The 27,316-nt window shown below is 37.5% G+C and overlaps 1 protein-coding gene across 1 annotated transcript in view, besides 1 other annotated feature; it reads left to right on the top strand.

Annotated features, from left to right (window-relative positions):
• Positions 1-26,929, top strand: part of TMX4 (thioredoxin related transmembrane protein 4) — a 42,416-nt gene extending 15,487 nt beyond the window's left edge. The window contains exons 3-8 of the mRNA NM_021156.4: positions 2,734-2,779; positions 4,415-4,543; positions 8,204-8,249; positions 16,886-16,987; positions 20,418-20,481; positions 21,654-26,929. Coding sequence (NP_066979.2) covers positions 2,734-2,779; positions 4,415-4,543; positions 8,204-8,249; positions 16,886-16,987; positions 20,418-20,481; positions 21,654-22,024 — 758 coding nt within the window. The 3' untranslated portion in view covers positions 22,025-26,929. The remainder of the gene's footprint in view (positions 1-2,733; positions 2,780-4,414; positions 4,544-8,203; positions 8,250-16,885; positions 16,988-20,417; positions 20,482-21,653) is intronic.
• Positions 19,502-20,119: an enhancer, noted in NCBI's record as "OCT4-NANOG hESC enhancer chr20:7964803-7965420 (GRCh37/hg19 assembly coordinates)". NCBI's record gives its function as "activates a minimal SCP1, AML or CMV promoter by ChIP-STARR-seq in naive H9 embryonic stem cells {active_cell/tissue: H9 hESC(naive)}" and the evidence as "EXISTENCE:reporter gene assay evidence [ECO:0000049][PMID:30033119]".
• Positions 26,930-27,316: the final 387 nt, after the last annotated feature.

Here is a 27,316-nt window from a genome sequence, read left to right as displayed (position 1 = left end):
GTCATGTTTTAATTTTCAGGTAATGAAAATTTTCCTGGACACGTCATAGAATCAGTGTTAAAGGTTAGAAGACATTTTTGGAGTACTGAGATGAGACCCAGAGTTTTCGGATGTCTTTTAGCCTCCCAGAAGTTACTTTTTTTTTTTTTTGAGATGAATTTCTTATGGTGTTGGATCTACAGGGATTTAGTAGCGTGTCATCATCCAAGGAAGACTTCGACTGTTCTGGATCTTGTTGTTGTTGATTTTACTGAATATATCATTATATGACAGAATATTATTCCAGACAGCAAACTGAACTCGTGTCTGAGTTGGGTGCTGCAACCTCATTGTTAATATTCCACATAGGCTGTCATTTGAAGAAATATTGACAAACATAAATGAAAGTAATCTTGAGGTGATATGATTTATTGGTCTTTATTTTAATAAACCTTAATTGATGGCCTTGTAAATTGGTACAGTAGTCAGTGAAACAACATAGCAATTCATATCAAGAGACATAAAGTTATTATACCCTTTAATCTAGCAATTTTGGGAAGAACTCTCCTGTTATTCCTTTTAGCCAGAACCAGAAAGATGCAGAAAAACCTCAGAGACCATCTGTGACTTTGATACTTTTTCTTGGTACTCACTGATTTTCATGAGTACATTTATTTGTAAAGATAATTTATGTTTTCTGAAATGAGGTGCAATTTCTAAAAGACTTAAGACTAAAGCCTCCTGAATCTGGAAATGTTTTATATATTGTATAATTAAATGTGTTTTATGAAATATTTTTCTACTTATTTATTTACTTCTTTATTTATTGTCATAGCCAGTGATGACTAAGAACATACAAAAGAGCAAGTTAAAAAATCACTTTAAGTGATACCTAACATTTAATAGAAATCTTGTCTCTTTATTCTGATAAAAATAAAATCTAAGTAAAAAACTTTAAGAGGTGATGAGATACTATTTAATTTCTTCATTCCATTTTAAAAAAACATACAAATGAAATATACATTCTTAATACCGTAACTGTCTTTAGATAAAATTTTTGGCTGGTCATAAGGAACTATAGCTAGGTAAGAAGTAATGTATGAAGCTGTTCATAATAATTATCTTAAACCAAAGGCATATACTAGTTTTTTAAGTATTTAGGAATAACAGTACTTTTTCCCCTGGCAAGTTAGAATTGGAAGTATACTGTAGGATACCCTTGTTCCCTCCAGGGTGAAATCCTGAGCAATGTGAGAGATGAAAATGCGCTTAGAAGTGCTTGTTACAATCCTCAGTTGACCTATTTTTGGGTCACTCGTGTTTATGTTACTGGTGACAAAACTTTTTTTTCCAATGTACAATGACAAATTTTTGTAGTAAATGTTTCTTTTTGTGACTTTGACTTTTACTAATCCAGAGCATTGTGTTTCCTTTTAAATACAATTGAGATGTTTTGGAATCCACTTGGTCTGAAATGAAATAAAATACAGAATTCTTTGAGAAGACGCATCATTTGTTACTAAATTATGTTGAATATGGATTTAATTTATAAAATGGGTGAAAGTAAATTTTCCATGTTATTAAAAGTAAAGCTTCAGTGTTTTGAATTGCAAGTTACCACAGGGATGTGTGATTTGAGCAACTTAATTTGAATGGATATTTGATTTTGTCCACATTGTTCTACAGTGGGAAAGGCAGCTGTGATGGAAAATGTTAAAATGATGCCTCTGTCATTTTTCCATGTTGGCCAGGAGGATCCTTAAGCTTTCATTCTCTTTACTTATTCTTGGTGCCCATGCAAATATTATTTATTTGTAACATTTAAAGGGCAAGGATCTGTTCTTTACTCCTAGTCTCATTCAGCATTTTTTTGCATACCTACCCTTTTTTTAAATATTTTCATTCTCTGTTTGTGGTTGTGATTGTGATTATTTGAATAAGTTATTTCCTTCTGCTACTAGACTATAAGCTCTGTGAGAATAAAGGTTGTACATGTTTTTATTCATCCATGTGTCTTGAGTGGTAACCACAGTCTCTGGAACAAAGAAGGTGCTTGGTAAATATTTGTTGAGGTACTAAGGGTTTTATTTATCTTTGTCTTTACATGCACATAACATAGCATTTGATATGTACTTAGTGTTCAGTAAAGGTTTGCTAAAACAAATTGGAAAAAATATTTTTCACATACATATATTCCCTTTACGGTACTTACAGATTTTATAAATGTACAAACATTATACATGATCTTAATCATTTCATATTACTTATTCTTTTTAAACTGATAACTGATGTAATCATACCTATAGTTTGTTGAGTCCTTCACTATGTACCCAGCACCATGCTAAGCCTAATAACACTTGCCCTAATCTAACTTTAGAACCATTAAGTTAGGCTTTTATATACCCATTTTATAGAAAAAAGGTGACTGAGACTAAGAAAGGTTAAATAATCTAAAGTTATAAAGTTAATAAATGGGTAAGTCGGTATTTAACTTTGCAAAACCCCAGTTTGCATGACTCTAAATCCTATCCTTTCAGCCTCCTTACAATCCAAGTGATGCAAGTTGTATGTCAGTTACTAGAAAGTGTTAGGTAATAAAAATAGGTAGAAATGAAATTTCTGTAAGTCAAAAAAAATAGTAAATGTGAGTCAACAATTGCAGTGATTTTAATAATGTGATTATGAAAGTAAGCTCAAGAATGCTTTTTTTGGAGGACTTAAGTGTAACTTTTGTTCTGTTTATGCTTCTTGTAGGTTTGAGTGGCCGCTTCTTTGTCACCACTCTCCCAGCATTTTTTCAGTAAGTTTAAATAATCTTCTAATCTTGCAAATATTAGAAATCAATAGATGTGTACCAGGAATTCTAAGTTGTCTTCCATGACTGCCACTCATTCAGCTTAACATGTGAGGGAAACAAGGCTGGTGTGCTCTGAGTGAGAGCTGTGACAAGAGAAGCTTTCCTGGAGTGCTGCAGAGACAGAGGTCCTAATGTCAGGCGTAGGTGGGCAGGAGAAGTCAGAGATTTCTCTGGTGATATCAGAGGTGGGGTAATTCTTAATATCTAAGTAGGAATGCATTAAGCCAACAAGGTAGAGAAAGTCTTTCCAGTTAAAGGAGATAGCATAAAAAAGCCCAAGAGAGAATGAGCTACCTTTTGAGAACTTTGAACTAGTTCTTTATGGCTGGACCACAGGTATAGCTGGATCATGCTGAGTGATGAGGCCAGAGAGACTCAGGTACAGGCAGGGGAAAGATAAAGAAAGTAGTGAATTCCAGAGATACTTAGGAGGTAGGATCAGTGGGACTTGGTGACTGATTAGCTGTGGGAAGGAAGAGTCTATGATGACTACCAACAGGCCATGTGTAACTAACTAGTAAAAGCTATTGCCTGCCTTCATGATTAGGAGCCATTAAAATAAGAGGAGGTTTGGAAGATAGAGACAAAAATGCAAAAGATAAGTGTGACTTGCCCTTCCCAGTTCCAAATGGAGAAGTCTAGGTACAGTTTGATGTCAGGATCCAGAGTTCAGAAGAAAGATCTAGACTGGAGATACATATTGAGAATTCCTCAGCATTGAGGTAAAAGTTGAAATATATCTAGAGAGAACATGTATGGTGGGGAAGGGAAGCAGGTCAAGGATGGAACCTGGGATTGGCCAACATTAGGACATCTGCAAGGAAGACAGTGAGTGAAGGAAATGGAGAAGTAATGCTCAGAGCAGTAGGAAGAAGTCCAGAGAGCTCCTGTCATAAAAGCCAAGCACAAGGAAGAAAGAAGTGGTATTCAGCAGTGAATGAACAATGCCAGTAACAGGTGAAGGAAACAGAAATGGATACGGCACTTAGGGGTCATTGGAGACCCCCAGTATGAGTGGTTTCAAGGGAGTCCTGGGAGCAGAACCCCCAGTTGCACCAAGTAGTGAATGAGACATAAAGAGGAGAAAACAGCAAGCCTAGACTCTTCCCTGGGGGCCCTGATTGCTGCAAGTAGGTGAGAGGGAGGCCAGGTTGAAGGGGGGTATGACGTTTTTTGTTGATGTTTGAGGAGAGGGCCTTGAACGACATAAATTTGAAAATGTGGATACAATGTTTTAAACTTGATAACAATGGCTGTTTTGCTATTGTAAGAGAAAAAGTAATTGGTAGCAAAAATAATAAAAAGTAACTTGGCATATTAAACACTGCCAAGAACTCTGCTTTTAGTCACACTTTGTACGGTGATAACATAGAATGTTAACGCTTTTAGGTTTGAATTTCTCACTTATAGTAAAGCTTATTAACTCTTTCTGATTTATCTCTATGTATATTTTTCAATTGAGTCAATTTAAAGTTCAGATGGCGTTCAGATGTATCACCAGTAGCTATTTTAATTTTTATTATCTGTAACATCGTTATTTTAATGCATTTGCTTTCTACTTGTTTTCATAATTTATAGTGCAAAGGATGGGATATTCCGCCGTTATCGTGGCCCAGGAATCTTCGAAGACCTGCAGAATTATATCTTAGAGAAGAAATGGCAATCAGTCGAGCCTCTGACTGGCTGGAAATCCCCGGCTTCTCTAACGTAACTCAATTTTTTAAGACAAGGTGTTACTAATAAAACAGGAGGTTTTAAGTTAATAGCCTGTGGGTCTCAAAAAAGCCTATGTTTTACTTCACATTTACTTCCAATTACCCAGATTACTCATGGCCATGCTTAGCCCATGCAGTATTTCTGATTTTGTGACCTACATATGTTTCAGCTGGTTTTTAGTATACTGGGAATTAAGTAGCCAGATTTGAGTGGGTTACAGAACGCCTCTTTTCCAGCTTTTACACTAAGCCACAATGACTATTTTTCTCTTTACAAAATATGGTATTGAACATCATTTACCATTCTTTCTTCCTTTTAAGTTATTGATGAGACAGAGGAATAACTGTTTATTGAATTATAGTTTATGAAGGAATTGCTATTATATATTATGTGGAAAACAAAACCTGTGGAGTCTTTGGCTGCCTCGCAAAATACCACAGGGGATAGCTTTGGCCTTGACGGCAAACTGTATAATACTTGGTGAGGTAGATTAGGCCAAACCATAACAGCTTTTTCCACAGTTGGTTTTAGTTTTGAATGGATTGTCATATATATAGATAATTTTATGTTAGTATATACAAGTGTAAGAAATTTCCCTACTGAAAAAGGAGCAAATCAAGCAATATTTCAGGAGTAAATCATCTAGTGGCATCTATATTAATATTAAGGAAACACATAGCTTACTCTAAAAACAACTCTCACATTTCATTCTACAACCATTTGAGCACTGATTTAGCCAGATACTTTCCTAGGTGCTAGGTATTCAACACTGAACAAGACAGACATTCACCTCAGGTACAGAGAATCATAGTTGGGATGAGGGTGGATAAAAAACACAACAACATATTTTACAAAGATGGGATAGCTCTGGGGTTATGGACCTGCTCTTCTAGATGGAGGGAGTAGGAGACATTTCTCTGAAGGGACGCCTCTAGGTGAGATCTGAATGATAGAAGGAACTAGCTTAGGCAAAGAGCAGAGGGAAGATTATTCCCAGGAATGGGTATGGCATATGCATAAGCCCCAGTTTGGAAAGGAGCTTGGTGTACTTAAGGAGCAGAATGGTGACCAGGGTCAAGCATAGTGAAAGGGAATGTAGGATGAGCTGAGTAAGAGGGGCAGGCTGAAGCCAGGTCATGCAGGGCCTGTGGCCACAGGAAAGAAGTTGGAAGTGATCAGCACACACAAGGAGAAGGTGACCCTTAGGAGAGGAGATTGGAGAGGGCAAGAATGGATGAAGTGAGTTGAGGCTTAGAGTGGTAGCTTGTGTCAGGTGGCAGCAGTGGGGATGTGGGGATGGAGAGGCTGAGTGGATTTTAAATATGTTATGAAGGTAGGCTTGGCCAAGGTGAAGGAGAAGAAGGATTCATTAATAAAAACTTACAAGTTTCTGGTTTGAGTACATGATGGATCTTGGTACTTGTTATTGCCTTGGGCAAGAGAAAATTAAGGATTCTGTATAAATCTTGTTGGGTTTGAGATGCAGACTTTGTAGAACTGTCACAGTGGATGCTGTATTAGTCCATTCTTGCATTGCTATAAAGGAATACTTGAGACTGGGTAATTTATAAAGAAAAGATGTTTAATTGGCTCATGGTTCTACAGGCTGTACAGGAAGGATGATGCTGGCATCTGCTTGGCTTCTGGGGAGGCTTCAGGAAACTTATAATCATGGTGGAAGGCGAAGGGGAAGCACATAACATCACATGGCCAGAGTAGGAGCAAGAGAGAAGGATGGAGGTGCCACACACTGTTAAACAACCAAATCTCCTGAGAGATCACTCATTATCAAGAGAATAGCACCAAGTGGATGGTGCTAAACTATTCATGAGAATCCGCCCCCATGATCCACTCTCTTTCCACCAGACCCCACCTCCAGCATTAGGGATTACAATTTGTTAGGAATAATGCTTACAATTTTAAGAAATTGAACACTTGAACAAAGGATATTTAGCAAAGCAATTTTATTTTTGCGCAGAGAGGTGCCTTTTTGGCCAGTCGCCATGAGAGCACACTTGAACAAAGGAGTACGAGAGCCTTTATTTTTGACGCAAGTCTTGCCCCTGTATCCTTTTTTTATTGGCTGGGGTCAGGTGTATAAACTAATTTTAGTTGGCTAAACATTTGAATTTTTTTAGATAAGGTGGGCACATAGAAGAAAGAGGAAAGGGGAAAGGGTGTCTGTAGTGAGTCAGAAAGTTGTTTTTTTTTTTTTAAATAAGGAAAGGAATGTGAGTTGGTACTGATAATGGCTGGTATTGTGGCATGCCTGCGCATTTAACAAAGGCAGAAAGGAAAAAGGAAAAAAAGAGGGGGTGGTTAACTCTGAATTAAAAGATTGATTAGGCTATTTGAAGGGAAACCTTATCATATCTCACAAATTGAACATACGATTTGGGTGGGGATACAGATTCAAAGCATATCAGATGCATGGAAATGGGTCCCCATGAAGAATTCAGGAACACAAAAAAACCTACAGACAATGTTGAGGTGAGGGGAACACCTAGAAAGAAGGAAAAAGAGAAGAGTACTTGGGGATGAGTCATGGGCCACCCCCAAATTAAGAAACTGTGTTGAGAAGTCAGCCAAAGGAAACTGAAAATGAGTACCAGAGAGGCAACATGAAAACCAAGGTCTGCCATTTTCCAGAAGCCAAATGAGTGTTCAAGAAGAAGGGCGTAGTCTCTTGTATCCCATGTTACTAAGAGGCGAAGGGAGATCAGGTCTGAGACATGGACATTGAATGAAACATGGTGAGGTCATCATGGCCTTGACAATCTGTTCCTGTAGTGGTGAGGGTGGAAGCCAGATTTTAATCGATTAAAGGTACAGTAGAGAAGAAACAGCATGTGTAGAGTAATCTGGAGAAATTTATCTGTGAAGCTGGAGGGTCATGTGAGGTCCAGGGATACTCTTTTTAAAGGGTAAAAGAGAGTAGAGCATGTTCATATGCCAGTGAGACTGTTCTAGGAGAGAGAGAGAAGTTGCTCGTGCAGGAAGGGAGGATGAGAGAAAGAACCAAGTCCTAATAAGACAAAATGGATAGGATCCAAGGCACAAGTGGAGGAATTGGACTGTGATAAGAGAGTTAGACTTTTCCTGTCATAACAAGAGAAGGTGGATGCAGGTGGACACCAGGCTCAGATTTGGTAGTGGGAAGATGAGAGAAAGCACATGGTGGCTTCTGATTTCACAGTGACATATGAGGAGTGCTTGTTAGCTGAGTACATGGGGATGGGAAGATGTGTACGTTTTGAAGAGAAGGAAAAGGAAATGAGCTATTTTCTTAGAGCTTAGAAAGTGCTGGACAGTATTACGTGTCCACTTAGGTTTGGGACTATGAAGCAGAAAGAACTGTCATCTGGTTATGTGATGTTTTTTCCCTGGAGACATTCAGCTGCTCAGTGTTGAGATTTTTGCCGGGTAGGCACAATGAAAGGAGAAAGGGCCAAGGAGTTGGAATAGATTTACAGCAGAGTGATTCAAATGATAGCCACTGAATCTAAGCTCTGTAAGAACAGATATGAATCTGGGAGAGGGGGCAATATTTAGCAAGAAGTGGAGGGAAATAGACCAGTCCTCCTGACCTGATTTTCATTTTTTTTTTATAGTATATATGATCACTGTTTCTTCTCTTTATTTTTTTTTAAGGATGTCTGGAATGGCTGGTCTTTTTAGCATCTCTGGCAAGATATGGGTAAGTAATCTTAAATAAAACGTTTATATTTGCAGAGAGGTTAAGAATAAAAATACAGCTTTTAAGCAATAGGAAAACAAACATTTATAAGTACATTTATAATTTCACTTTTTTTCTTAAGCCATGCAACTACTCTCATGTGGGGTTTCCAGTGGTAATGTCGTCATGTAGAAGGGCATAATCTGAACAGTAACCTGTAACTACTGTGTCGAGGTCTTATTTTCTTAAATCAGTGGTGAAGTCTTTCATCCAAGCAAAACGGCTTATGTGATTTTACTTTATCTTATGTATTTCTTTGTAGGCATATCTCCCTACAAAGGAAAGATTGTCTAAGACTGAAAGTAGTTCTGTATGTCAGGGATTAACAAACTCTAGCCTGTGGATGGGCTACCTGTTTTTGTAAATAAAATTTTACTGGAAGACAGCTACATTTATTCATTACCTATTGTCTATGACTGCTTTCATGCTACAATGGTACAGTTGAATAGTTGTGACAGACACAGAGAATTGTGGTTCACAAGCCTGTAATATTTACAATCTGGCCTTTAAGTAGTAGACCCCTGCTATATGTGATCGTATAATTTCTCTGAGTCATTTCAGTGGGTTAGAACTGTTATTCAGGTTTAATTTTTGAACCATTATATAATGTTGAGTATGTCCCATAACCTTTTATTTCCCTTCTCTGTAGGGGAGGACTAAATCCAACCAGATTGAACAAAATGGCTCTGGAATTAAATATAGCTCAAAATATTTCAAAAAGTCTTAGAAGCGAGTCTCCCTATATATGTCTTTTCTATGCTATGATTGTAGGTTATGGTGTCATGTTTGGAACATAATATTCAAAGAGTTTGTGAAGACTCTTTTTCTGTTTCTCATACACATTCATATATGTTGAAAGACATTTAAGAAAAACCTTTTGTATTCCACTTTCTCAGTTCCATTTATATTCTGCCTTGTGAGATAGAATACCTACCACAAGGTTTTTTGGTTGTTTATTTTTTACAACAGAGGCGAATTGAAGACTTGGTTTCAGTCTTTCAGGTTAAAATTTAACTTTTTTTGGCATTTGTCTCACAATAAACAATAACTAATATTTCCCCCTCTCCAGATAGTTTGAATTTCATGTGGTTTCCTTCTGCTGCTTTCTTAACATTGGTGAGAACTTTAATCAAGGGCTAAGAATTATGAATTGCAAACTGGGAATTGAAAAGAGATTCTGCCTTTTGCAGTATGTTGATATTAAAGACTGACAAAATCATGTAGCCTGATGGCTGTTTGAGCCGTGTAGCATTATACTGTCTAATTCAACAGAAAAATTGGAGTAGATGGTTGTCAGGCAGCATTGACTGTGAAATTTTAGCACCAAACCTATGATAAGTGCAATAGAATTTGTTCTGCAGGTTAAGAAGAGCTTAGATGGAAGCTGATTATGGCCTTCATTGACTGTAAAAGAGAAGTTTTACTTTCAAAGACGATAGCAGGGAAGATACATAATGGCCCTGACCTCATATAGCTTGTAATTTGGAGCTTAGACAAACAAGTTTAAATAAGGAGTTACAGTTTTTCATTATGTCATGCAGATGATTACAATGTGTAACATTTAGAGTGTGTCAAGGCCAGGAGTGGGTGTTTTATCTTTGTACACACAGTGCCCAGCTATGGGCAACACAGATGTATTCTGTGTGGATGCATTAAACTGGAGAGAAAGAGCCGTTTGGAGAACAGAATGTGATCCATGTCTGAATAACTAATGAATATGTTTTTCTTAATGATTGAGAAGTAGAATATATATGTTATATAAATGTATATTTATAATTTCCAGATATTTCCAAAAGGAACCAAAAATGATCATTTTATAAGATAAACTAAAATTTGGCACACAAGTAATTACATTTTATAATTGTAAAATGTAGAATGCAAAATGTACAATTATATAAATGTATAATTGTAAAATAGTTTTATCTAGTATTAATACCATGTGTTTTCTTTTTTATAAGCATTTGCATGGAGTAATTTTTCTATTTTCAACCTTTTGATTATGTTTTAAATAAATCTTATAAAAAGTATATAGCAAGATATAATTCTTTTAACTGATGAATTTAATCCATTTATATTTATTGGGATCACTAAAACATTTGTCCTGATTGTAGGGTGTGTGTATGTAGGGGAATGGAAGAGAGTTGCACATAAAAGAACGCAAATGATACAGTGTTATTTTGATCTCCGTGTGTGTGTGTGTGTGTGCATTACCTTAATAATTTGTGAAATCTGATACTGCCCTCCATATCAGCATGTAGCCTCCCCAAGCCTCTTGCCAACTTTTGTGATTTATTCTTAGAAATAAGTCCCCATCCTTTCATCAGATCTGTAGGTAGGTCTCTTGCCACCTGTGTTTCTAGAATGTGGCCCTTGTCCTCTGATTTATAAGGCACACCATCTCTGACCTAAAGAGACCCAGTCCTTGGCTACCCATCAGGTCTCTGGTCCCCACTCCCACCTTTAGTTATGGTCTTGCCTTCCTGTCTTTATAGAGCCACTTACTCAGCGAGTCCTTCCAGCTGACTGCCCTGCCTGCTCAGTTAGCTCATTTAGCTGACTCTTCCTTTAGTCAGAGTTCCTCAAATCCATGTTGAATGTATAATTGTGGCAAACGTATTTGTTTTTTAACTCATGTCTAGATCATATGAAACTACAATGCAAATATATTAATAATGAACAGAAGAAACAACTGTACATGGTGAGACAGAAATAGACTAGGGATGGAAGGTGGAACCAAAAAAGTGTAAAGTCTCAGAGAAAGAAGATTATAAAGATGGAAGAAGGAAAGACGTAGAATGGCTAATGCCAGTGAGACAAGATTGTTTATGCCTATCCATAGTCTCTTTATCTTACTGAAATATCTGGATACATGTACAGATAGAAATCAGTCTTTCCTCAGCAACAGTCTTCCCTGGATGGGTAGCTGGTTAGATGTAAGTATATCTGCAGGGAAGATGACAAAACAGTATAATGGATGTTTATATGGCGTTTTTGTGTGTATATAGGAAAATGCTTAGAGATCAACAGTAGTTTTCTCTGATATGGGTGATTTTTAAAAACGTTTTTTCTATAACTTCTATTTTCTTCTGTAATGAAAAAATGAAAACAATATATTTAGATCAGAGCCTATTGAGCTAGTAATTATCTAGAAGATATCTAGAAGATCAGAGATATATCTAGAAGATCAGCGCCTACTGAATTAGTGATTCCTTAAGGGGCTTGGGTTTCTTTCTGCCTTAGAAGTGAAGCCAACTTGCTAGGTTGCACATTCTGGAGATAAAAGCTGGTCCTCAAGATTCTAGGATCACCTGGTGATGAGACACTCACATGGCCGAATTCCTATCAACTCAGGAGTTGGTTTGGTTTGCATTTGGCCTTCTTAACTTCATACCAACCTCCCCTATGTTCTTGCTTGAGTAAACTGTTGAGGTGAGAAAGTCCCTTGAATAGTCTTATGAGGCAGTTCCTGTCAGCTTCCTGCTGTTACCCTGAATCCCAGGGATCCTCGATATGTCATTCATACCACAATATGGACAAGAGTAGATGATCTCCAGTGTTCTTTCCATCACTAAATTTAAATTTTCTTTCCAATTCACTCATGATGGCGCTCACCTGCATATTTTAATTTTTATATAAACTCACAGAAGTAATTACCTCATTAGCTGTTAATATCTATCCTCACAAATAGTCTCAACATTTTACCCATCTCACAGATGGAGTCACTGAGGCCTAGGAGATGGGACAGTTAGAGGAGTTTCTCAGAGAGTTGACATCTTCAAAGGACAAAATTGATTTTGATTTTATATTATAGTAGCAATATCCAATTTCTTTAAAATTGTATGCAACTTAGTGACTAAATGAAAAATGTTAATACTCTAATGGATAGTACAAGGTGAGGTGAATATCATAAAAGCAATGTGCAGAAGATTGAACTTCAGGAAGCATCACTGCCAAGTCTGGTGGCATAGTTAGGATTAGAAGTTCTTGGGTTTTGTGTGTGGCACATGTGTGGAGAGAGACTGTCCAGTCTTCTGTCTTCCCTCTTTTCACAGTTGGCTACAGTGCTACAGAGTGGCACTATCCTTCTCTTCCAGAAACACATCATTGTTTCACACCTTATGTGTAGGCCCCTGAATCCTATTTTTTTTTTTTCCAGCCATAGACTTGTTCCTAGAACCCTTTGAGTGCCTAGTGCAGAATCTGGTACCTAGTTAATGTGCTTGATAATTGCTTTTTGTTAGTTATATGTATTAATCATTATTGTCTTCATTATTTTACTTTTTCCTTCTCTTTATAGCCAACGTGGAATACTTTAACTTTTGTTAATTTTTTTAGCCAATGCTGATAGCAGGCTTAAAATAGGGTTCCGTGGCAGTTGCTCAGCATATAGGTTGAGCATCCCCAAATCCAAAAATCCAAAATCCAAAATGCTCCATAATCTGAAACTGTTTGAGCACCAACGTGACACTTAAAGGAAGTGCTCACTGGAGCATTTTGAATTTCCGATTTTTGGATTTGTGATGTTCACCTGGTAAGTGTAATGCAAAAATCTGAAAAAATCAGAAATCTGAAGGCTGTCTGGTCCCAAGCATTTGGAATAAGGGATACTCAACCTGTATATGCTTTTGCGAACTAAGTTTAGCATTTAAATGTATTTAAAGCATTTTTTATTGGATTTGTTGAATCTCTGCTGCTCACTGATAATATAGGATGTAACTTCCCTTTCCTAAATGTTACTGTCGTTTTGAGAGGATGTAGGCATATGGCAGATTTTAGCTAAAATAAGATGTGCTACATCCTTGGGAGGACAATCTGTGTGATGGATGCTACCTTCCCTTTTTATTAGAATGACGTGACAGAAAACTTAAGGCTTTATTTAAAATATCTGATGATGAGAATTAAAAGCCATGAACATTTAGACTAGAGAAGAACAAAGTGTATTTTAAAACTTGAAAACATTCTTCTGTGATTTACATAGCATGCCTCTTCTCAATGTTTTTTTCGTATAAAAATGTTTAGAATGTTTTGTAGAATGTTATAGTGAGACAGTGGTGCACATCTGTAAGGTACCTTTCATAGATCCTACAAGAGGCTGCAAGGTTATGTTTTGTTACAAGTGCTAAGAGCTAAAGCATGAAAGAGGTGAACCCTTGGCCATCATTGAAGAGTCTTTTCTAGCTGTTTCCTTGCAGGGAAGATATTTTGGGGATTCTGATCTGTGTCTGAAAGAGATAAAGGGCTTGTTCCAGAACTCCTCAGAGAGTATATCCTATGACACAGGTGAACTCTAAATCCAAAGGCTCTCTGTCCTTCAGGGCCAGTCTAGGTTTGAATGAGACTCTGCAACACTGGGCTGGATGAGTGGGTGTGACTAAGTAGTATTTAATCCAACCTGCAGTAGTTTAGACTTCCAGAGGGAGTGCTTGCCTTTCTGGGGAGGGAAGGCTCTACCTCAGATGCATGGAGGCCTTGGCTTGGCTGTCTTCCTTAAGTCTGTCTGACCACTGATTAGAATGCTCTTCTCATTTATTCTGTTGTAATGATGTTTTAATTTCATCTTCTCACTCAAATATGTATGTAGCCAAAAGTTAGCTCTAACTTAATCATGTACTATGATAGTATAAGGTGTCACACCCATCAGATGACATTTTAGTGCATTTTCAGTGAACAGACTAAGATTTTTTTTTTTTTTGAGGCAGAGTCTCACTGTGTCACCCAGGCTGGAGTGCAGTGGGGCGATCTCAGCTCACTGCAACCTCCGCCTACCGTGTTCAAGCAATTCTCCTGCCCCAGTCTCCCAAATAGCTGGGACTACAGGCGCCTGCCACCAAGCCCCACTAATTTTTGTATTTTTGTTAGAGACAGGGTTTCACCATATTGGCCAGGCTGGTCTCGAACTCCTGACCTCGTGATTCACCCGCCTCGGCCTTCCAAAGTGCTGGGATTACAGGTGTGAGCCACCGCGCCCAGCCCGAGTAAGATACTTTCTTATTCATCTAGTACCATAGTATAAGGTATCATGCCCATCAGTTTACATTTTTGTGCATTTTCAGCGAACAGCATGGGATATTTCCTTGTGGTAAGCACATATAATATTGAATAAGGATCAGTATTTTCCACAAGTGAAAACTGTCACTTTGCCTGGTAGTTAAAGAAACAGAAACACAATGATCTAAAACTGAATTGGATTTTATTTAATAAGCTATTCCTTTGGAAACATATATAAAGCAAAACTTCAAGGACATGGTACCACTAATCCTAACACTCATAAGGGGCTTTAAAGCTGTTGTAGACTCAGACAAAGTAGACAGATAAATATTTATATCTGTAGTTGTGAAAGTACAACCTGATTAATGAATAGTTACTAATAATGACCTAAAAGACCAGAAGATGGCAGAGTTTCTCCAAGAAACTCAAATTCCGTTAAAGAGGAAATTGATACAAGAAAATTGAAGTGCAGCTTATTAAAATAAGAGGATGTTTTGAAAGTACTAAGTGTTTGAGTCAGAATGCAATGCTTCAAAAGCAAATGATTTAATGAAATTTAAAAATAATTTAGAAAGTTTCTTGAGAGTTGCATTAATCATTTATTTTGCAGAAAGGGCATGAGATACTGTATAGAAGGACTTAAAACTGCACATTATTTTTCCTAACCATATGAGTAAGATAAATCAGCAGATACTTATAAAGCAAGTTCTAAAATACATTCATGGGTTGACACAGAGGCAGATTGACTTTGACCATCTTCTAATTCTTTGGCACATTTCCGGGTTTAATATTGATGATACTGAGTCCTCCGAGAAAAGCATAAGCTTAATACACAGTATTTTCTAAAGTAGGAAACTATACAGTAAATTTTAAAACTTTCTTTGAAAAGAGTTTGAATGAAATGATGTTTTGATATCTCAAACACGCCTTTTGCTTGCTGAGTTGTAAAATGCTAAGTTACTTTTTTTTTTTTTTTCTTGAGACGGAGTCTTGCCCTGTCACCCAGGCTGGAGTGCAGTGGCGCAATCTCAGCCCACTCCCTCTGCCTCCGGGGTTCAAGCAATTCTCCTGCCTCAATCCCCTGAGTAGCTAGGATTATAGGCGCTTGCCACTACGCCCAGCTGATTTTTGTATTTTTAGTAGAAACAGGGTTTCACCATGTTGGTCAGGCTGGTCTCGAACTCCTGACTTCGTGATCTGCCCGCCTCGGCCTCCCAAAGTGCTGGGATTACAGGCATGAGTCACCGTGTCCAGCCAAGTTACTCTTAATAAACAGTTGTCCTGGCTAAACACACACTGATGACCAGTGCCATCAACAGAGGACAGATGCCAGCTTTACAGTTTGAGAGTGTGTTTGCCTTTCGTATGAATAAATAGCTCAGGCATTTGATGCATCTTTTCCTTATTCAACAAATACTGATTGAACACTTTGATTCCATGTGTCAGTGTTTAAACTACTTGCTGCGTCTTTAGCTCTATCTCTTCTGCTGAATAAGAAATTGTAGAGAGATATTTCAGATTTTGCTAAATCAGTTTACAAGCTTTGTTCTTTATTTATCATTCCAAATTAAGCCAGAATAAAATATGTTTTTTAATTGCATTGACATAAACTAAGAAACCAATGGGAGTGATTTAGATTTTGAGAAATAGGAAATTAAAATAGAAACTTGGACTCATTTTCATCAACCTTACTGGTTCTAGGGAAGTCATTGTCATTACCTCTCTTGCTGATGATATTTGGAGCCATATCATCCTGTGTCCAGTAGTTACTTGAATTTTAATGGCCATTTTTGAAGCTGTCAGGGTCTTGAACAAATGACTAAGTGATTGTGAGGAAGCATGGCTCCTGCAACTCTACATCTAAGTAGGTTTTGACTTTGAAATAGCAAGTTCATATCTGTTAATTTCTTTATGATTTAGCATGTAAATACTTTCTAGCTGTGATTATGTCCCTTCACTCATTTTTAGAGTGTTTGTCATCAAATAGAGTCTTAGGGAACAGTAAGCATGAAGGGATATACACTCTATTCAAAGACTGCTGGAATCTCATTTGCTCATAATAAATTAATCAGAAAAACTTTCTTCTGTCTACTGTTACATTTTATGTTTTCTGGTAATTTACCAAACTTTGAAAGGATGAATAGGTGTAGAGCAATGAGAGTCTAATTAGGAAAAAGAGGTATGGAGACATTTTAAATGATTGACGTTCTGTAAGTCGTAATTTAGTTTTACTAAAAAGTCAGAGGCCCAAAAAGTTTAATTTTTTCATGAATGCCCTATTATAAGTAAACATTGAGATGTATATAATTATTAGGGGAGGAGGGCCAAAAGCATCCATCATGATGGAAGAAAGGACTATCAAAACGATTCTACCAGAATTCTATCCAGATTATGAACTCTAAGCAAGTATAACTTTTTTTTTAGTAATGACCTTAATTACTACTCTCAGTTTCCCAATATTATAAAATTGACTTGTTCTTTAAGAATCATTTAGATACATAAAGCTTTGTGGGAACCTATGTATGTAGAAACAACAGCTAGAGAGAGAGATTGAAATATTTTTGGTTCTCTTAAAAATTAATGTTTTATTTTTTTTCTTCTGATTCCAGCATCTTCACAACTATTTCACAGTGACTCTTGGAATTCCTGCTTGGTGTTCTTATGTCTTTTTCGTCATAGCCACCTTGGTTTTTGGCCTTTTTATGGGTCTGGTAAGAGATAATACCAAACTTTTTCTATCTTTAAGGCAAAATGAATTTCATGTACAAATAAAAGGCAGCCAAGAAAGAAAAAGCACATAAAAAATAGTATTTTGTGCAATCTAAGTAGTTAAATAGCATTTGCTTGTTTGAGACTGCTTTCAATGGTAATGTGAGATATAACAGAAAATTTATTAAATTCTTATCCCCTAATCCTATCCCTTAAGTATTTTGAAGATGTGTACTGCCTATAGACAGTAATTAAAAAAAAAAAAAAAAAGAGACCTTACTAGAATTGATAGTTTCTAAGACAACTGAGTCAGCTGTGATTTCACACATTGCCTGCTTAATTAGAAACACTGTAGTGATAAGGCCAAGGTTTTGAATTTGTTCCTTGTGTAGATGCAAGATTGTTGTTGTTGTTGTTCTTATCCTCCAGTTAAACTAATCCTGACTAGCCGCTTATGCATACACTCTGGTTTTCCTGAGATAGATAATGTAGTTAACACAACACAATTATTCTTTGGGCATGAAAATCAGTATGCAGTATATATCTCCCCAGGTATTTTCTCCCCAGGTATTTCAGGCAAGAGTTGAATAATAAATTTATTTATCTAACTACATAGGCAACTATAAATGTTCAGCATGTTGTACTTCTTGTTATTTTTTATTTCTCTTAACCTAATCTTGATTAGTTTGATTGCATTTTAAACCCTAATTAAACCAAAAAGTTTTTAAAAACCTTTATATTGTATACTAAACACATAGTTCCTAAACACTATAATGGGAATAATTGATGATTACTAAAAATTTATGTCAAAGAACAGACTTTAAGGTAAGATTATCTTAAAGTCTGTCCTTATATTTTATAATGAATTTTGGCTCTTTAGCAAGTTCTTTTTAAAAATGTTAACAATTGACTTATAGTAAGTCACAACCCCAAGAGGCCAAGGAGGCTCGATTTGACTTTTCTATGAACATGCTTAATACATATCATGGCTTATCTTTGAAACTTGGCTCCTGATGTTAACTTCAGGGATAAGAATGGGACTTACTTAGATATCTGTATATGTCCTTCATTAGGTCCTGGGTATGTTCTGTTCTGTTGCATTAATCTTTTTGCTAATTAACATGTCCCCATTGCTCCCGTCTAAAGGGATTTGACACCGGATATAAATAGAATGTGATTGTCTGTGCTTCTCCCATCTGTTGTCTGGTGCGAGATTTTTCTAGCAGTGTATTTTGGGGCTACCATAGTGTGAGGTTCTTGTAGGGGGAAACAGTATGAGGTCCCAGGCGAGTCAATGATGGAGTTATAGGGAATGTAGGTTGTGTGTGACCCTGTTGGAAGACTAGTGAAAATGCTTAGAGTTTTAGAATATTATTTTTGATGTTGACTTTAAGTCCATGAAATTGAGTCAGGCCTGCCTGCCTATGCCTTAGATTCCTTTGGAAACCTAGATTCAGATAATCAGTGTAGAAAGGTTATTGGAGGCTTGGCCTGAAGAAAGGAGAGAGTGATTCTAGCCTGTTCAAGTGATTAAGTGAGATAGACTACCCTTCCTTAATAAGAAAATAACTTTATTTAACAAAATATTATTAACTTTATTAACGAAATAATAATTTCAAAGCATATGAATCATAAATTATAAAAGATTCATACATTTACTGTTAATAAGTTTCCAAAAAATAACAAACACATATCTGTGTTCAAAGTACCTGTTTTAGGCTGGGCACAGTGGCTCAGGCCTGTAATCCTGGCACTCTGGGAGGCTGAGGCAGGTGGATCATTTGAGCCCAGGAGTTTGAGACCAGCCTTGGCAACATGGTAAAACCCTGTCTCTACAAAAATACAAAAATTAGCCTGGCATGGTGGCACACACCTGTAGTCCCAGCTACTCGGGAGGCTGAGGTGGGAGGATCACTTGAGCCCAGGAGTTCGAGGCTGCTGTGAGCCATAATCTTGCCACTGTACTCCAGCCTGGGTGACAGAGCTAGACCCTGTCTCAAAAAAAAAAAAAATATATATATATATATATATACACACACACACATATATATACACACACACACAGAATGCCTTTTCTATAACTGTTAAGTATATTAAAGTAAACACACAACTGCTAGAATTTTTGCTTTTAGTAACCTTTAATTTCTTATGTACTTTCAACTTCTGTTTTGTGAGAGTTACACAATTTGAAACAGCTGCATTCTTATCCCAATTTAAATCACCTATTCCAGAATGACATTTTTGTTAACTTCTAGGATGATAGAAAAGTGTTTGTCAATTGTTTTCATGTCTTAGCCACATAGAGAATATTTACGTAGCATGCCAGGGTAAAGGAATACTGGGGGACAAAGCTGCCTGAGGCTGGCTCTGAATGGCCCAGACTCCTTGAAGGATGACATGTCTGTTGGGAAGCTAGGATCCAAATTTTTTTTTTTTGTAATCTCACCAACTGAGTCAAAATTAAATGAGTAAATTAGATAGACTAAACCTGAGATAAAATTGTTGAGTGTACAATTTTCCAGAATAGAAGAGTAGGATAAATTAAGATGATGGATATGGTAATTACACTGATTTGATCATTATACTGTAATACATGCATTGAAACATCACATTGTACCCCATCAGTATATATAGTTACTGTGTGTCAATTATAAATAAAAAAGAAAAGTCAGAAAGAAACATTATGTCCTAGAATAGCCAGTAAGCATATAACTATCACATTAAAAGGTAAGGTTTTCAAACCTGAATCATTTCAGATGGAATGTTTTTTTTTCTCTTTGTTGTTCAAATTGATTTAATGGCTTAGAGCTTATTGTTCTCCAACCCACCAAGCCTTCCTGCAACTCATTGCCCCACCTCCTGGGTCTCCTCAGTTTGACATTCAGGGCTTTCTCTGGATCCAAGACCCCCATGGAGATCCAACTTAGTTTAGCTTAGAGCAGCCAGGCGGTGCTGCTGTTCTCTCCTGACTGCCCAGGGCATTAAATGCCTCCTCCTTCAAAGTCATCCTCAATCCTTCCCCACCCACAGCTGGCTGTAACATTTGTGAAATGTTCTTCCATTCAATCAGGGGTTACCCGTTGGTGAGGGGCAGCCTATATACAGAGTGGTTTGGTTGTCCAGAATAGTGTATTTAAAAAGACTTGGTTCATAGTGTCTATCTTCTTATACCTGCTTGGTTCATCTATTTATAGTGGGTTCTCTGTAGACTTTTGGCTTTGTGACCACTTTCTAAATTAATATTTTCCTGTATTATGTCACATTTGAAAAGTAGGAAATTCTTAATTATATCCTTGTCTCTTGTGAAGACTTTTGACTAGCTGCTAATTATTAGTCTAAGAATATCTGATTATAGAAGCAAGGCCTAATTTTGAGGTCCTTTGGTAATAAATGTCCTATCTATTCACTGTAAAATCACTTTTTTCCTTCCAGGTCTTGGTGGTAATATCAGAATGTTTCTATGTGCCACTTCCAAGGCATTTATCTGAGCGTTCTGGTAAGTACGATAAGCTCCTGTGATCTAGAGTGTTTTTGGAATTCTGTGATGTGCCTTTTTGTGCTCATATAGATAGTGGGTTTTCTCTGTGATTTACTAGGTGACCAAATAATCACTACCAAATTTCTTAAAATGTGTTTTCTAGGTAGATTTGAACAAAATTATTTTTCTCCCTTTCTTAAATTAGGAAATATTTCATTTTGGCAATTGCTTTTTCTTTTTAAGTATGTGCTCTTCATTAATCAGTGTCATATTTTCCTTTATTCTAACTAGAACTAGAAGGGAAGAAGGGAAACTCAATATATATTGCTTCTGCTGTGTGCTAGTAACTCTTCTAAGTCCTTTAAAAGCAGTCTTCCCAAATCCTTGCACTGCTCCACACTTCTTCTGGGGCCAGGTGCCTCTGGATTTGCATGTCTTTATTCCAGACTATTTTTGAGACTGCATAAAGATGTTCATGAGACTTTCTAATTGTTGAATTTTATGTGGGAGTTTAAATAAGCTCATGTTTCTTTTTAGTTCTTGAAGTTTTTGAGGCTTTGAGACTTCCATTGATAATTTGAAAATATGATTCTTAGATTTCTTAAAAGTAATAGAAACCCAATATCAAGGATTTTAGGAAAACAAATGAAAATTTATTAGCTCACATAACTGAAAAGCCCAGGGACATTCTAGCTTCAAGCACGGCCCAAGTGATGTTAGGTTTCTCTGTCTGTGTGGCTTATTCATAAGAGCTGTTGATAGTCCTTGCGCATTTTCTCTGTTTAAAAATCCCTGAAGAAAAAGAGGCTGTTTCTCCTGACTCTGGCCCAGAACCTCTGTGGAGTACTTTGAGTGGCTTAGCATGTCACATTTCTGAACCAATCACCATGACCAATAGGGTCACTGAGCTTTCTACAAGACACAAAATACCGAGCGTAAAGGACCCTTTGCCCTTGCTGCCCACATGCCCTGCTGAAGTCATTATGGTCCATGAAATCTCCAGAGACAGGTGGAGAAGCCCTAAATGGGGCTAGGATGCCAACCAGAGAATCTGTCCTATATGACCATAGTTTCAAGATAGAAAAAACTGTCACTTACCCTCTATTTTTATTTCACAGCTAAACACACTCAATTGATTACCGAATTACCATTGTTTATTCAGAGGATATTCCTCTTTCTTCCCTCCATAGAGCAGAATCGGAGATCAGAGGAGGCTCATAGAGCTGAACAGTTGCAGGATGCGGAGGAGGAAAAAGATGATTCAAATGAAGAAGAAAACAAAGACAGCCTTGTAGATGATGAAGAAGAGAAAGAAGATCTTGGCGATGAGGATGAAGCAGAGGAAGAAGAGGAGGAGGACAACTTGGCTGCTGGTGTGGATGAGGAGAGAAGTGAGGCCAATGATCAGGGGCCCCCAGGAGAGGACGGTGTGACCCGGGAGGAAGTAGAGCCTGAGGAGGCTGAAGAAGGCATCTCTGAGCAACCCTGCCCAGCTGACACAGAGGTGGTGGAAGACTCCTTGAGGCAGCGTAAAAGTCAGCATGCTGACAAGGGACTGTAGATTTAATGATGCGTTTTCAAGAATACACACCAAAACAATATGTCAGCTTCCCTTTGGCCTGCAGTTTGTACCAAATCCTTAATTTTTCCTGAATGAGCAAGCTTCTCTTAAAAGATGCTCTCTAGTCATTTGGTCTCATGGCAGTAAGCCTCATGTATACTAAGGAGAGTCTTCCAGGTGTGACAATCAGGATATAGAAAAACAAACGTAGTGTTGGGATCTGTTTGGAGACTGGGATGGGAACAAGTTCATTTACTTAGGGGTCAGAGAGTCTCGACCAGAGGAGGCCATTCCCAGTCCTAATCAGCACCTTCCAGAGACAAGGCTGCAGGCCCTGTGAAATGAAAGCCAAGCAGGAGCCTTGGCTCCTGAGCATCCCCAAAGTGTAACGTAGAAGCCTTGCATCCTTTTCTTGTGTAAAGTATTTATTTTTGTCAAATTGCAGGAAACATCAGGCACCACAGTGCATGAAAAATCTTTCACAGCTAGAAATTGAAAGGGCCTTGGGTATAGAGAGCAGCTCAGAAGTCATCCCAGCCCTCTGAATCTCCTGTGCTATGTTTTATTTCTTACCTTTAATTTTTCCAGCATTTCCACCATGGGCATTCAGGCTCTCCACACTCTTCACTATTATCTCTTGGTCAGAGGACTCCAATAACAGCCAGGTTTACATGAACTGTGTTTGTTCATTCTGACCTAAGGGGTTTAGATAATCAGTAACCATAACCCCTGAAGCTGTGACTGCCAAACATCTCAAATGAAATGTTGTGGCCATCAGAGACTCAAAAGGAAGTAAGGATTTTACAAGACAGATTAAAAAAAAATTGTTTTGTCCAAAATATAGTTGTTGTTGATTTTTTTTTAAGTTTTCTAAGCAATATTTTTCAAGCCAGAAGTCCTCTAAGTCTTGCCAGTACAAGGTAGTCTTGTGAAGAAAAGTTGAATACTGTTTTGTTTTCATCTCAAGGGGTTCCCTGGGTCTTGAACTACTTTAATAATAACTAAAAAACCACTTCTGATTTTCCTTCAGTGATGTGCTTTTGGTGAAAGAATTAATGAACTCCAGTACCTGAAAGTGAAAGATTTGATTTTGTTTCCATCTTCTGTAATCTTCCAAAGAATTATATCTTTGTAAATCTCTCAATACTCAATCTACTGTAAGTACCCAGGGAGGCTAATTTCCTTAAAAAAAAAAAATCTATCCATCTACTTCTCTCTTACCTGATTTATGTGTTAGAATAAATTCATGAAATTCGATTCCAAGCATACGAAAGATGCCTAAAGTTGATTCTATGCTCCTTAGATCCAGACAGAATAATGAGTACAGGTTTATGAAATTCTAAAAGTTTCTGTCGTCTTTAAAAAGGAACGTGCAGTATATTTCTATCTGGCTGTTTAGATAACCCTTTCCTTGTATTAATTGTGAGCACGGAGCTCACTGGTGGGGGAGGTTCTGAAACTCTCTGCCCTCCTGTGGTTGAATGAAGATGTTGCAAGACTTGCACAAAGGAGGTTATTCTTCTGACAGCATCAACTTTTAGAGATGGTTCTTTTTCATCTTTCCAATTCAGTTACTTGACAGTCTCCTTCCCCAGTATGCTGAAGTTTGTTAAGAGTCACCAGTAATTGTGCTTTTCAGACAGTAGTGCAGCTTCAAAATCGAGGCCATCACTGGGCTGATGGGCTGGGAGAACCTTGCCATGTGCCTGCCTGTTTCCTGCCCCCTTAGTCACTGCCCATTTCCTGCCCCCTTGGTCGCTGACACACCTTCACCCAAAGTGCCATGGTTCTGATGGTGGCAGTTCCATCTCCCTGACATCAGGAAGCTTTTCTCGATCAGAGCAGAGCGGGGCCTGCCTGCCCTCGTGTCACTGGATTTCTTTCTCTTATAATCAGCTGAAACAGAGTTCTCAAAGAACAGTAAACTCAGGTTCAGAGGTATTATGGAATAAGAATGGTTTCATAGTTTGGCTTTTCTATATAATTCCTCCCTCTCAAACTGAAATATTCATTTTTTTAGTGGAGTATTTGACTAGAGAGAAGGTAAGGCAGAAATACAGTCTACACTGGCTTTTAAAAATGTAAAGCCAATTTCCAACCGGACCCCAAATAGTACAGGTTGAACATTCCGTTCCAACAATCCAAAACCCCAAATGCTCCAAAATCTTAAACTTTGAGTTCCAGCATTCCGTCAGAAGTGGAAAATTTTACACCTGACCTCATTTGACAGGTGGCAGTTACAGTGCAATCAAAACTTTGTTCCATGCCCAAGATTATTAAAAATATTGGATAAAATTACCTTCAAGCTATGTTGTATAAGGTGTATATAAAACAAATGAATTTTGTGTTTAGACTTGGGTCTACTCCCAAGATACCTCATTATATATATACAAAAATCCCCAAATCCAAAAACATTTGAAACACTTCTGGTCCCACACATTTTGGATAAGGGATATTTGACCTATATCTAATTATATAATAAGAAAAATGTATTTTCTTTTTTTTTTTTTTTTGAGATGGAGTTTCACTCTTGTTGTCGCCCAGGCTGCAATGGCACAATCTTGGCTTACTACAACCTCCGCCTCCCTAGTTCAAGGGATTCTCCTGCCTCAGCCTCCCAGGTAGCTGGGATTACAGGCATGTGCCACCATGCCTGGCTAATTTTGTATTTTTAGTAGAGACGGGGTTTCGCCATGTTGGTCAGACTGGTCTTGAACTCCTGACCTCAGGTGATCCGCCCGCCTCAGCCTCCCAACGTGCTGGGATTACAGGTGTGAGCCACCGTACCTGGCAGAAAATGTACTTTCTTTCTCAGAAATACTTTTAAAAAAAATTGAAGGGTGAGGAGAAAAACATCTTGGAGAAGAGGACCCATTAAAACTTTAAATATCTGTGGGAACCATTTTTCCTGATTTTCCCTTTTTTAACATCATGGCAAAGATGGGTTTTTTTCCAACAAAATTTAATTTAATATCTTTCCACTTGAAGATTTTAGGTTTGTTTTCAATACTTAATGAATATAAAACTAAAGGAGAAAAGCCAACCTGAAATAATTTAAACTTTATATGAACATTTCGATAAGAGTTTGTGGATTTTTTCTGTAGATAATATATTTGATCCGGAACTCAAGTGCATGGAAACATGATTTTGATTTTTAAAATCTAAAAAAAAAAAAAATTAAAATCATGCTTCCCTCTATTGCAGTATCAGTTATTTAGTCACAGAATGGTATTTTATGTAAATTAAAATTAGGTGAATGCAATGCAGGTAACTGGTTTTGGAATGGGAATGTGCAGTGCTTTATGTTTGGGGAGTTGGAGCAGGGTATCTTTTCATCAATTAGAAGGAAAGTTTGAAACTTCTGATTACCTTTATGTTGGTTTCTCTTATTATTTGTCTCTTGCTAGATCTGCTAAACCAACCCAGCTTGCTCAGAGATCTCATATTGAAGCAACATACAGGCAATCCACATCTTTCTTTCCCTTTGAAGTATAGTCATTGGATGGGATGAGGGACAGGGCCTGTTGGGTTCACAGGGCCTTGCACTGCATGGGCACATACTTAAAAGCTCTTGTGCATGGAATCCCTGTCTGTTAGCCACAGGCCTCTTTAGCTCTATACATTCAAAATAACTACTGTAGTAGAAAATAGATAAGCTTCAGCTGAGTTGGCTTTTGATAGTGGAAAAAAAACAAAATTTGACTTTTTATGGCCAAAATTCCTTGTTGACAGCTGTGATGTTCTAATATGATTTGGGAATATGTCAGTCTACAGAACCTGCATCCTGTAAAAACACCTTTGGGGTAGACGATAAAAGTCATTTTTAAGGCAAATACTTACCATGTGACTTTTTATTACCAAATGCATCAGTAGTGGAGCTGGTATGTTGTTTCATAGGATGGAAACATTAGAAGTCCAGAGAAAAATAAATTTTAAAAAAAGGTGGAAAAGTTACGGCAAACCTGAGATTTCAGCATAAAATCTTTAGTATGAAGTGAGAGAAAGAAGAGGGAGGCTGGTTCTGTTGCTCGTATCAATAGGTTATCTGTGTCCCTCATCTTGGTGTTACAGTGTTATTTCTGTCAGTATTATGAATATGTGGTTGACCCATCCTGTCAAATGTACCAACATTTTCGAAAGAATTCATTCAAATCTCTTATGCCAACAGAAAAGTTCCTTCTTGTTTAATATCTCTTTACCTCAGTCCTACATTTTGATTCTCTGGAGGAGATTTTAGCTTGTCTTAAAAAGCCAAATTTGGAGTCATCAAGCCTGCTGAACCTGATGGGGCAGCTTTTTGAACAGCTTTCTGGAAGTAAGAACTTCAGTTGAAAAGCCCTTTGATCGCTTCAGCCCGGGACATGCCCTTCAGATGGCTTATTCTCAGTAAAGCTTTATGTAGACTGTGACACTGTATATGTGTGACTCGTACAACTTTGACGTGTTTCTGAAGTGGTTTAATCGTATTTGTTATTAGCTTCTTTGTGGAAATGCAATTTTTATACTAAAAACATTGCTTATTTGCAATGCAATATGTTATAAATTTGTTGTTTATATTACTGGTATTAGTCTTAGCCTAATGAACCTAATTATTTTTCTTTCTGTATTCTTTGCTTCCTCAAATAGCATCTGCAGCAATTGGAATGAGAAATCCAGATATGTGTTTCAAGTAGTACATTGCCTGAATCACAAATCACTTGATCACAGTATTGTATATAATCCCTGATCCTATTTGTTTCATTTTATTGTAAATTCCCATTTGCATCAAAACCTAATGATAGTGATTGGTAAGTAAAAACAAATGGTGTATTGCTTTTCATACAAGTGTTTTCACAAAAGCCATTTGCCTAGGCAGCAAAAAATATTAATTTGTTAAAAAAAATTTTCCTTCGTGTCCATCCTCCATCTAGTCTGTTCATTCATTCTCTCTCTTTCTCCCTTCCTGACTCGGTGAAACTCAGACCATGTGCCCTTTAGTTGCTCTGGAAAGTGCACAAAACCAAGGCAGGGTCCAAAGATCCAAGGCTCTTCCAGCCAGTGTGTTGCCATCAGAAACCTCTGGGGTCTCCCTCTGTCCTGAGGTCTTGGGGTAGCCAGATGGCAAGGGATGCTACTAATCCCCCAAGACACTGTGGATTGGTCTTGTCTTTGGGGCTTTCAGAAAACTCCCTTCTACACCTAACTCTCCCCACCACTATAGTGGAAAAGCATCAAGGTGGTAAGGTGGGTCCTTGAAACACCCTCAGAGACTGAAACAATGGAGATTGGATTTTTGTCTTTTGGAAGATGGTG

This window comes from Homo sapiens, chromosome 20, assembly GCF_000001405.40.
Source record: "Homo sapiens chromosome 20, GRCh38.p14 Primary Assembly".
Lineage (NCBI taxonomy): Eukaryota > Metazoa > Chordata > Mammalia > Primates > Hominidae > Homo > Homo sapiens.
Note: the sequence above shows the minus strand (reverse complement) of the source record. Positions and strands in the feature narration are given on the sequence as shown.